The sequence below is a fragment of the Homo sapiens genome, chromosome 2, assembly GCF_000001405.40.
Source record: "Homo sapiens chromosome 2, GRCh38.p14 Primary Assembly".
NCBI lineage: Eukaryota > Metazoa > Chordata > Mammalia > Primates > Hominidae > Homo > Homo sapiens.
The window spans coordinates 97,728,961-97,740,944 of NC_000002.12; the positions used below are offsets into that span (position 1 = coordinate 97,728,961).

Genomic DNA, 11,984 nt, shown 5'->3' on the forward strand with positions numbered 1-11,984 from the left:
CAGGCTGGTCTCGAACTCCTGACCTCAGGTGATCCACCCGCCTTGGCCTCCCAAATTGCTGGGATCACAGGCGTGAGCCACCGCGCCTGGCCTGTCAAGTGTTTCTTATCCTCTCCTGGACTGCAGACCTCTTTGGAATCCTACTGACTGCTCCTTTCACAATCCCCCAAAGCATATTCACCTCAAAGACTTTGCAGACAGTTATATGAGATCATGGTTGGTCCTGAACCTCGTCCTTAGAACCCTTTTCAGGTCAAGAAGTTATGATTTAGACCAGTTACCTCATTTTATACATAAGGAAACCGAGGCACAGCGAGGATAAGCAGTTTATTCAGGGTTTCACAGATAATCTGTGACAGAGCTGGGTGTTAGTCCTAGGTAGCAATTAACTGTAGAGTCAGAAATGCATTTGAATCCTGGCTCCCCCTCCTATCTCTTACCAACTCTGCAATTTAGGCAAGATACATAATCTTGTGCCTCAGTTTCCTCATCTGCAAAATGGAGATAACAATAGTGCCTACTTTGTGGGGAGTGCTGTGATTATAGGACAAATATGTGAGGAATTTAGAACCAATATCTTAATAAATAAATTGTAGCCCTTTTGTTTTGTTTTGTTTACAATCGTGAACCAGAGACAGATGTAGCTCTTATAGGTTCTATGTATTATTTTAAGAGCAGAGATACAAGTTGATTTTTTAGCCTGTACTTCTGGCTTAAGTGCAAGTTCCAACTGCAAGAACAAAGAACTGCCACTACCTAGCATTTTTTTTTTTTTTTGTAAATCAAGTAGAACTTATGGTACTGAAATATATGTGGTGATAACACCAATGTCTTAGCTTTTGTGGTTATTATCTGGGAATTTGCAGCTGCTCTTTATGAACTCACACATCTCTTTCCAAAGAGTGTATTGGTTAGCTTTTGCTGTGTAACAATGTGCTGTATTCATACCCTGAAATGTAGTGGCTTAAAACAATGGTCATTTACAGCCAAGTGTGATGGCTCACACCTGTAATCCCAGCACTTTGGGAAGCTGAGGCAGGCGGATCGTCTAATGTCGGGAGTTTGAGACCAGCCTGGCCAACATGGTGAAACCCTGTCTCTACTAAAAATACAAAAATTAGCTGGGCATGATGGTGGGTGCCTGTAATCCCAGCTACTTGGGAGGCTGAGGCAAGAGAATCACTTGAACCCAGGAGGTGGAGGTTGCAGTGAGCCAAGGTTGCACCATTGTACTCCAGCCTGGGCAACAAGAGCAAAACTCTGTCCCAAACAAACAAACAAACACCGATCATTTATTCACTCTTGTTTTGCTTGGCAATTTGGCTGGTTGCTTGGTAATTTGGGCTGAGTTCAGCTGGGTGCCTCTTCTGCTGGGTTTTTGAGCTTACTCATGTGGCCACAGCCAGCTGGAAGATTGGCTGGAGCTGGATGGTCTCTGGGATGGCCTCACTCACATGAATGGCTATTGGCCACTCATGTAGGGTGCCTTGGTTCTCCTCCATGGGCCTTCTCTAGCAGGCTAGCTTGGACTCATTCCCATGGTATTTGGAGAGCTGCCAGGAAAAGCAAGAGAGGGCAGGCCAACCTCAATGTTCAACCATTTTTCAAGCCTCTGCTTGTGTCATGTTTGCTAATGTCCTGTTAGCAAGGCACATGGTCAAGCCCTGATTCAGAAGACAGAGGAGGAGGCCCCACCTATTGATGGGAAGAGCTCCCTAATATTGTGGCTGTTTTCCCCCAGTATTCCACATGGAAGTTTAAATAAACAAATAAGGAGGAAATTATTAGTTCTAGAAGAAAGAATGAAAGAGACAGACAGACTTGGTGGCTCACGCCTGTAATCCCAGCACTTTGGGAGGCCGAGGCAGGTGGATCACGAGGTCAGAAGATTGAGACCATCCTATCTAACACAGTGAAACCCCATCTCTACTAAAAATACAAAAAATTAGCTGGGCGTGGTGGTGTGCACCTGCAGTCCCAGCTACTTGGGAGGCTGAGGCAGGAGAATGGCATGGACCCAGGAGGCAGAGCTTGCAGTGAGCCGAGATCACGCCACTGCACTCCAGCCCGGGCTGTGGAGCGAGACTCGGTCTCAAAAAAAAAAAAAAAAAAAAAGAGACAGAGGAGGGGAGATGGGAGGTTTGCTGTTTGCTGGTGAGTGGCTTGGCATGGAGTCTCTGTTGTCAGTTTAAAACTTCAGGTTGTGACCCTTAGGAGGTGTTTTCACTTCTCACAGTCCCTGGAGACCATCACCTCCAGGCCAGCCTGCCACCTGCCTCTGACTTCCACAGCTCTGAGACCCCCAGGGCCAATAGCCCTCCCTCCTCACTGGAAAGCTGCACTTAACAGGAGCTTGTGCCAGTGACTCAAAATAGAAATGTTTTGTGGGAGATGTTGACTGGTGTCACTGCGGGGTTTCACGTGACGGCGCTGCATCTGCTGTCCCAGCCTACTGTCTCTGTGGGATGTTTGTTTCCTAATTTGTGGTGGGTTCTCTTCCTTGCCCTTTTGTGTGCCCTCATTGCCCCCGCCCTGATTTCCCATCTCTCCATGTTATCTCCAGACTGTTGTGGGCTAGCCTGGGAACTGCCCCACCCTTCACTGCACTGTACTTCGGGGAACGTGCTGTCCAGGAATGGAGAGGATGGTCACAGCTGCACCTCTCTCCCTCACTCAGGGGACATTTCCTAAGGAAGGGCCTTATTGCAAGGTGGGCCCATGGCTGCCTTGCTCACTGCCATATCCCTGCGCTGAGAACAGTGCCTGGCCTGTCAGTAAAGACTTGTCCAGTGAATGAACATCCACAGGCAGGGCCAGGCCTGGTCTGAGAATTTGCACCTTGGAGGGTGCAGCTCGCAGGCCATCACAAGGGCTCTTCTGTAGTGCAGTGCAATCCCTGAGATCAGGAGTCGGCTGCTTCCGGCCTCCACAGCTTCCACGGGGCCAGCTGCCCTCCCTCCTCACTGTAAAGCTACACTTGACCCTGCAATAGAGGCTTGTGCCAGTGACCCCAGACAAAACTGTTGTGTGGGGGATGCTGACTGGTGTCACTGTGGGGCTTCATGCGAGGGTGCCGGTGTCTGACACTAAGTTGGTCTGTGTTGAGGGGGGATGTGTGTACTCAGGGCTGGAGCGGATGGGGGGACAGTTTCTTACCCCACAAATGCACCACCTTTGAGGGGCTCAATTCCCATCATAGACATGGAAGATTTATATATTTATATTGACAAAATTCCAGCAGAAGGCAATCGAGGGTCTCATTCTAGGAAAGGTCCATCTATTATGGAACTGGTCAGTCTCGTGATGAGAAAGTGACTTGTTTTGATTTGCACAGGGGTGCCCTGTAAGCTTGTCATGGAGCTGCGCCTACCTGTGTGGGTCTGTGTGGAAAAGGCTTTCTCTCCCCAGGAGAATGGTGCTAGGTCTACCTGTTGAAGGCTCTGGGTCTGTTGTAGAAGGCCAAGTGCCCCCCATGGTTGGCTGACTGTATGGCCGAGTGTACCCCCAATGAGTGCCTGTGGATGACTATCTCTCTGTGGATGGCAAGTGTCTGGCCGTGGATGGCCAACTGTTCAGCCATGGGGGACCAGGTGTTCCCCAGTGGATGGGTGTCCCCTCCTCCGTGGCTGGGTGTCCACCGTGGGGGGTCAGGTATTCCCCGTGAATGGCCATCTGTTGGCTCTTGGAGAACAGTGCATTTTCCTGGGAACACAGCCATGGCCCCTCCACCGCCCTCTGCCACTTGGCCCATCATCAGCAGATCTGGAGGTGATGGGGGCCTGGCCTGGCTTCCCCAGTCCCTGCAGCTTCTCTGCAAGGCTCTGAGGTGTGGAGCCCATAGGGTGTGTTGCGGGGGAACCGGGGCACAGCAGGAGGCCCCCAGGTGGCTCTAGGGGTTACATCCCCTCCCTTCCCCTGCCAGGCTGAGGCCGCGGAAGGAGCAGGGCACATACGCCCTGTCCCTCATCTATGGGAAGACGGTGTACCACTACCTCATCAGCCAAGACAAGGCGGGCAAGTACTGCATTCCCGAGGGCACCAAGTTTGACACGCTCTGGCAGGTAGGCTGCCCGTGCAACTTGTTCTGGGAGATGCCGTGCTCAGATGGGGTGCCGGGCTCTGGGGAGGAGAGGAGCCTCTCTGCTAGCTGCCTGCTCCCTGCAGCTGGTGGAGTATCTGAAGCTGAAGGCGGACGGGCTCATCTACTGCCTGAAGGAGGCCTGCCCCAACAGCAGTGCCAGCAACGCCTCAGGTGACGGCAGCAGGCGGGCGGGCGGTGGGCGGGGGCGGCAGGAGACCTGGCCCCCAGCCCTCACTGTCCCTTCTGCTCCCCCAGGGGCTGCTGCTCCCACACTCCCAGCCCACCCATCCACGTTGACTCATGTGAGTTGGGGGCACCTGGAGTGTGGCCTTGGGGATGGAGCTGGGGAGTGGCTGTGGGGGAGGCTGGGATGGAGGCTGGGGTGCCTGTGGAGCGGAAGAAGCTCTCTCTCCACTGTCTCTGGGAGTCCTCAGTGGATATAGGTCTCATGAGAGGGGCTGGACGTCCCCAGCTCAGGCCTTGCTGACCCTGTGGCCTTTAGCCTCAGAGACGAATCGACACCCTCAACTCAGATGGATACACCCCTGAGCCAGGTGAGCGGGCAGAGGTGGGGACGCGGGTTGGGGCTCATGCTGAGCCGAGATCAGGGTCGCTGTCAGGGCTGTGGGGTTTCACGGGGGGCGCTGTGGGCCGGGCCAGGCTGTGGCAGTTGGCTTGGTTAACACCTGTGCACACATGTGCCCACACCCATCACACCTGCCTGTGCACATGTACGTCCCAGTGTGTACTGACGTGCAGGGAGCACACTTGGCCTTGCCTGAGGCTCCCCAGACACACGTTTGTTGAGTACCTACTATGTGTCAGTCACGTTCCGAGGTCACTGTGTGTATGAGCCACCGAACCCTCCTGACATGCCTTATGAAGTGGCTATGGTGATTAACCTCACTTTACAGATGAGAGAGGGAGGGGTCTGTCTATGGGGATGTGAGGCAGTGGTAGAGGCGGGATGTGAACCCACGATGGGCCCCAGAGCTCACATTCCTAAAATGGTCTGCTGCGGGTGCTCCTGTTTCTCATGGGTGGGCCCAGACCTGAACATGTGTATGCACAGAGAAGACACATAGTTACATGTGCACCTAGAGGCTCGCTTTTGGAGGCCTCGTAAATGTGGCTGTGTGCTGCATACGCAGACAGGGACGGGCCCGGCCATAGGCGTACACGTACGAATGCACACACATGCACACCCCAGCTGGCACAGTAACGGTGCCACGTGGATACCAATGCACACGCCCCTAGAGTCCACCCTCATGTGGCTTCATGGGGCACCCACAGCTGTGGCCAGGAGTGTATGCCAGTGTGTGCGTGTGGATGTGCAGGAACACGCATGGGCACCCACCTGCTTGTGCATGCTCCAGGGACGGCACCCTTGTCTGGGGCAGGTGCTTGTGGGGGCTGAGGCTGCCTTGCTCCCCACACCCCTGCCCCTGACCTGGGAGTGTACCGCTGTGTGTGCCCAGCACGCATAACGTCCCCAGACAAACCGCGGCCGATGCCCATGGACACGAGCGTGTATGAGAGCCCCTACAGCGACCCAGAGGAGCTCAAGGACAAGAAGCTCTTCCTGAAGCGCGATAACCTCCTCATAGCTGACATTGAACTTGGCTGCGGCAACTTTGGCTCAGTGCGCCAGGGCGTGTACCGCATGCGCAAGTATGGCCGCCCCTGCCGTGGTGGGAGCACCGCCGCCTGGGGCAGAGGGGAGTGGCTTCACCGGGCTGTGGGACGGGAGCCGGGATGTCTGTCTCACAGCAGTTTGCCTGGGAAACAGACTCTGGGGCAGGACGTTGCACGCTGGAGGATTCCCTGAGAGAGCTCGGGACACCTGACGGGGGTGGGATGGGGCCTGGGCAGGGGGAGGCTGTGGAGCTGAAGTTCCCAACCCAGGGGAGCTGCAGTGGGGTCCCCGATCCCTGAGTCCACTGGCCCCTGACAGGCTGCCCCTGGGGAGGGTGTCACTTTGGATTCTTTTTGGCGATGGGCTGTTCCCGGTGAGCGATCCGGCTGTGAGCCGTCCTCAGCAGACGCTCCAGGCTGCAGGGACATTGAGCGCCTTGGTCCCAGCCTGGGTGGCGACTACAGTTGTCTACCACACAACTCAAGGGAGAAGAGAGATGGGTGGGTGGGGGTGTGGGGCCGAGCAGGGCCGGTGCCCCTCGCCCACGTGCCTCCCGTGGCCGGGTCGGGCAGGAAGCAGATCGACGTGGCCATCAAGGTGCTGAAGCAGGGCACGGAGAAGGCAGACACGGAAGAGATGATGCGCGAGGCGCAGATCATGCACCAGCTGGACAACCCCTACATCGTGCGGCTCATTGGCGTCTGCCAGGCCGAGGCCCTCATGCTGGTCATGGAGATGGCTGGGGGCGGGCCGCTGCACAAGTTCCTGGTCGGCAAGAGGTGAGCACCGGGTGGGCCCGGCCATCGGGTGGGTGGGGCCGGGGCCCATCCTGGGCATGGTGGACATGCACCCGCGTGCATGCGTGTGTGGGAAGCCGGGGCACTTCCACACCATCGTGGACACACTCTCAGCCTGCACACCCACACCCATACCCATGCCTGCAAAGCAGAGCTAACCCTCAGTCCACCATTGCACCAGTGCGGTAATAACAGTGTCTACCTCCAGGGCCTTTGCGAGGATCGAATGAGTCGGCACCTATAAAGGGCACTGCTAGGGCCGGGTGCGGTGGCTCATGCCTGTAATTCCAGCACTTTGGGAGGCCAAGGCGGGTGGATCATGAGGTCAAGAGATCCAGACCATCCTGGCCAACATGGTGAAACCCCGTCCTTACTAAAAATACAAAAGATTAGCTGGGCGTGGTGGTGGGCGCCTCCCAGCTACTCAGGAGGCTGAGGCAGGAGAATCGCTTGAACCCACGAGGCGGAGCTTGCAGTGAGCCGAGATTGTGCCACTGCACTCCAGCCTGGGGACAGAGCGAAACTCCATCTCAAAAAAATAAATAAATAAAAATAAATAAAGGGCACTGCTAGTAAGAGCTTTGTACACATCAGCTGCTCCCCAGACTCCCTGGGCCAAATTCATGGCCCCTGGGAAAGTGCCCATTGCCAGTTATCTGGAACCTGCCCTTTGTTTACGTGCTGCGTGGTTTTCTATTTTTAATTTTTTTTTTTTTAAAGAAACAAAAACGAAGATGTGACAGAGATCACTTGTGGCCTGTAAAGGCTAAAATCCTTACTATCCGGCCCTTTACTGAAAAGTTTTGCAGTTTCATTTGTGGTTCCTCATCCCCAAACTCTTACCCTCACAGACACAAGTTCTGCACTCCCCAAGGCACGTTTTTGCTGATCTGTGCCCTCTGGCTGGTGCACACACCTTCCCAGTGTGCCCCTGGCTCCCACATTCAGTCATTTGACAGGTGTTTATTGGACAGTTTCTCAGTGACAGGAACTGTTAGTAGCACTTGGGATTCATTAGCGAATAAACAAGGCAGAGATCCATGCTCTGTATTCTGGTTGGAGAAGAGAGACAGTAAGTAACAATCCTGATGAAATCTAGAGCATGTGGGAAGATAGTGTGGTGGGCACAAGCCTGCCGCAGCTCCAGGGGGTTGGGAGTGTTGGGGTGCGAGGTGCAGTGAGCAGGGAGGTTTGAACAAACTGAGGGAGGCCGCCATGCCCAGACGTGGGGAAGGGCATTCCAGGCAAAGGGCACCGCCTGTGCAGAGGCCCTGAGGTGGTCCCGTGCCTCGTGTGGTGCGGGCAGGGAGGGGATGAGCAGACCGTGCCAGGCCTTGCGGGCTGCCAGGAGGACTTGGAGTTTTACCCTGAGTTGGGTGGGAGCTAGGGGGTGCTGTGAGCAGAGGAGGGGGAGGACCTGACTCAGGGGCAGAGAGGACAAGACAGTGGGAGACAGGAGGGAGCGAGGGCCTGGGCGGAGCTGACTATTCCTGCCTGGGGGTCCAGGTGAGTGATGCTGCGGCTGCTTCCCGGTGGCAGAGGCAGAGATGAGGAGTGCGGTGGATTCTGGAGAGATTCTGACACCAGAACTGCCAGGGTTTGCTGATGGATTGGGTGTGAGAGAAAGAGGAGCTGCTGGAGAGGACAGTGGAGGAGCCATATGTGTGTGCACATGGGGATGGGGACAATCAGGCCACATTATCTTTGAGATGCCTGTGAGACCTCAGCACGTCGAGGGTGCAGGCATAGGTCTAGACTTGGGAGTCGTAGCGTGTGGGTGATCCCTAAAGCCTTGAGACTGGATGAAGGCAGGAGTTTTGCCTGTTTTGTTCACTGCTGTGTCCCCAGCCCCACGCCTGGCACACAGCAGGTGCTCAATAAGCGTTTTTGAACACATGGTCACCTGGCTCATGCCCAGCTGGGTCAGAGAAGCATGCTTTGCCCCTGGGAACTTGGCTAGTCTTCTCCCAGCTGACCCCGCCTTCCCCGCCACCCCAGGGAGGAGATCCCTGTGAGCAATGTGGCCGAGCTGCTGCACCAGGTGTCCATGGGGATGAAGTACCTGGAGGAGAAGAACTTTGTGCACCGTGACCTGGCGGCCCGCAACGTCCTGCTGGTTAACCGGCACTACGCCAAGATCAGCGACTTTGGCCTCTCCAAAGCACTGGGTGCCGACGACAGCTACTACACTGTAAGCCTCTGCCCCTGTGATGCCCGACTGGATGGGCTGGGTGGGTAGAGGGTCCCTGACCCCTGATCCAGCAGCATCTCCCCCTCCCCAGGCCCGCTCAGCAGGGAAGTGGCCGCTCAAGTGGTACGCACCCGAATGCATCAACTTCCGCAAGTTCTCCAGCCGCAGCGATGTCTGGAGCTATGGGGTCACCATGTGGGAGGCCTTGTCCTACGGCCAGAAGCCCTACAAGGCAGGCGCGGGCAGAGGCAGGTGGGCGGTGTGGTGGGGAGGGGGATGAGGAGGAGGACACTGGTCACTCACAGGTGTCTCTGCCCCGGCTTGAGCAGAAGATGAAAGGGCCGGAGGTCATGGCCTTCATCGAGCAGGGCAAGCGGATGGAGTGCCCACCAGAGTGTCCACCCGAACTGTACGCACTCATGAGTGACTGCTGGATCTACAAGTGAGTGCCAGTGGGGAGGGGACCCGGCTGGGCTGACCCCTGGAAAGTCCTGGTGCCCGATGAGTTGATGTCAATATAACTCTACCCAATGTCATCTCACCCAAAGCCCTTCACCCAGTTCATAGCCTTTGCAGCTGCCCCCTACCCCCACACCCAGCTCTCCAACACACCAGGGTTTGCTGTCCTGCTCCAGTGTGCCACACCCTGCCATCCCACCTGTGGGCCTGTGCCTCAGCATCTAAAACCTCAGCCATCACTCAACACATGGACCCTGCAACACGCAAACAGGTCCATACTCTGCTACTCAACCTATGACACTGACACTCAGGGCATGAGATGATTCTCCAGTACCCAACACTCCAGTCCCCACCAGCCAGCACACAGCACCCAACTACCAGACAGGTGAGCACTGAGGTACCAAATACTCATCTATTCCAGCCCCCACCTCTGCCTGGTTGAAGCCCAACCTTCAGACATCTCAACTCCTAACACCATCAGTATCCCAACTTCCCATCAGACAACAGGCAACACACCCCCAGACAAGCGGACGCCCTAGACTGCCCATGCAATGTGTGGACACTGTAACGCATGACCCCCCACCGGCCAGCACTTAGCATGCTGACACCCCAACACCCAAGCAGCCCAACAGATAGACACCCTCTCTGGCTGGCCCACCCTCCTGCGACATGTGTTAATTCCACCTCCATCAGGAAACACCCAGGGCACCACACCCCAGTACCCAAAGAGGCTAGCACCTAGCACCCCAACACAGTCCATGGATACCCCATGCACAGTACCGTTAATACTGCCGCTCCCCGCTGGCCAGACCCACTGCCATGCTCCAGGCTTCTGCTGATCACCAGCCTTGCACTCCCTCTCATCTAAGCCCCAGCACACTGATACCCTGGCCCCAGGTGCATGCACAGAGCATCAGCTTTCTATATCCCAGGTCCCCGTGGTCAATAGTTGCCACTCTGACACCAAGTCCACTCAGTCCCCTGAGTCCTCACTGGTCAACGCTCGGTAGAGGGGTCATCCCAGCACCCTGTGTGTGGGCAGCTCTGCCTCCTTAGGCTGTGTGGCATTGCCCAACGCTCTCACACCCCAGAGTCCTCTCCACCACCCAATGTCCCGCCACCCCAACAGCCCTGCTGACTTTCTGAGCCCCAAAAGTCTACCTCAGCCAAGCACAGTGCATGCCCACCCACTGGTGAAGCTGGGTCCTGGGGGCGTGGTCAGCAGCCTGGATGTACCCCACGCCCCACAGGTGGGAGGATCGCCCCGACTTCCTGACCGTGGAGCAGCGCATGCGAGCCTGTTACTACAGCCTGGCCAGCAAGGTGGAAGGGCCCCCAGGCAGCACACAGAAGGCTGAGGCTGCCTGTGCCTGAGCTCCCGCTGCCCAGGGGAGCCCTCCACGCCGGCTCTTCCCCACCCTCAGCCCCACCCCAGGTCCTGCAGTCTGGCTGAGCCCTGCTTGGTTGTCTCCACACACAGCTGGGCTGTGGTAGGGGGTGTCTCAGGCCACACCGGCCTTGCATTGCCTGCCTGGCCCCCTGTCCTCTCTGGCTGGGGAGCAGGGAGGTCCGGGAGGGTGCGGCTGTGCAGCCTGTCCTGGGCTGGTGGCTCCCGGAGGGCCCTGAGCTGAGGGCATTGCTTACACGGATGCCTTCCCCTGGGCCCTGACATTGGAGCCTGGGCATCCTCAGGTGGTCAGGCGTAGATCACCAGAATAAACCCAGCTTCCCTCTTGTCTGAGCGCCCTCATCTTTTCCGGGGTGAGGGTAGGTGTCAGGGGAGGGGTGGGTTATGAAAAGTGCATGGAGGTGACTGTTCTTGTGTGGACTGAGCCTGGAAGTGACCCCTGGGAAGATGGGGCTGGGTCCCACTCTCCACCCTAGGGACACCTTCATGTGAGTGAGCGGCTGGGGTGGAGTGGGGAACCTGAGGCCAGGCGGGTGTGGGCCCAAGGGCTGCGTGCCTGGCTGAGCCCAGCTCCCCTGTGTGGAGATGAGTGTGCCCCATGCCAGGTGCACGTTAGGATCACCTGGAGCTATTTTAACAAACGCTAACCCCCCCTCCCCCATCCAGCTGGGGTCTTCACCCCCCCAGGGGTGCCTTGCAAATCATGAGATACAATGCTTTTCATTGGTAGATGCACGTATTAGCTCCCGTATGAACCGTATTACTGAATTTGAATCTGAAAAATACCAAAATGCAAACATTGTTTTTAAATTAATTGTTTTAAAAGCTAATGAACGAATTAAGACAAATTGCATCAATTTAGTGGTTTCTTAAATCGTGGTTTGCAGGTAGTTCAGTTTTATTAAAATTCATTTGTGAGTCGCTGAACGACTTACATTATGTAAAATATATCAGACAGTAAATGAATTGTGGCTTTCATTGCCTTTTGGTCATCATTATGTTTCATGTCATCATTATTGATGAAAGTAATCTTATTTTATAAGAAGGAGGCATTAAAAAATGGGTGTCAAGTACATTGGGAACGCTAACAGACCCACCAGAGATGTCCGCTGAGGAACCAACGAAAGAGGGTGCAGTTCCGCAGAGCACTCTCCAGGTGGCGATGTTTCCAGAGGCCGAGGCCAGCTGGGGTCAATCCCGCCCTCACTGCCTGCTTCACCTCTGCACGTCTCCTTTTCCGCTAGCAGCACGACCTCAGGCCCTCACCTCCAGGTCCCCATTCCTGTCCCCTGTTGGGGTGATCAGACCCAACACCAGGTCGTGGGGGTGACAAAGTCCGGCAGAGTCAAAGGATTGAGAAAAAGACAGTTTGAGAGATAAAAGTGGGACACCAGGGGGTCATCGCCATCATG

General features: G+C 55.8%; 1 protein-coding gene across 8 annotated transcripts in view, besides 1 other annotated feature; it reads left to right on the forward strand.

The window, feature by feature from the left end:
- Positions 1-11,984, forward strand: part of ZAP70 (zeta chain of T cell receptor associated protein kinase 70) — a 42,789-nt gene that overhangs the window by 15,385 nt on the left and 15,420 nt on the right. For 2 of the 8 annotated variants that reach the window (NM_001079.4, NM_001378594.1), the window contains 10 exons: positions 3,923-4,061; positions 4,165-4,252; positions 4,337-4,383; positions 4,584-4,635; positions 5,560-5,752; positions 6,290-6,496; positions 8,513-8,705; positions 8,797-8,937; positions 9,035-9,147; positions 10,415-10,900. In NM_001079.4, the coding sequence (NP_001070.2) occupies positions 3,923-4,061; positions 4,165-4,252; positions 4,337-4,383; positions 4,584-4,635; positions 5,560-5,752; positions 6,290-6,496; positions 8,513-8,705; positions 8,797-8,937; positions 9,035-9,147; positions 10,415-10,538 (1,297 nt within the window). In that variant the 3' untranslated portion in view covers positions 10,539-10,900. Of the gene's footprint in view, positions 1-3,922; positions 4,062-4,164; positions 4,253-4,336; positions 5,753-6,289; positions 6,497-8,512; positions 8,706-8,796; positions 8,938-9,034; positions 9,148-9,340; positions 9,550-10,414; positions 10,901-11,984 lie in introns of those variants that run through there. The other 6 variants (XR_007081582.1, XM_047445775.1, XR_007081583.1 and 3 more) reach the window with 5 other exon arrangements.
- Positions 10,600-11,099: an enhancer, noted in NCBI's record as "H3K4me1 hESC enhancer chr2:98356023-98356522 (GRCh37/hg19 assembly coordinates)". NCBI's record gives its function as "activates a minimal SCP1, AML or CMV promoter by ChIP-STARR-seq in naive H9 embryonic stem cells {active_cell/tissue: H9 hESC(naive)}" and the evidence as "EXISTENCE:reporter gene assay evidence [ECO:0000049][PMID:30033119]".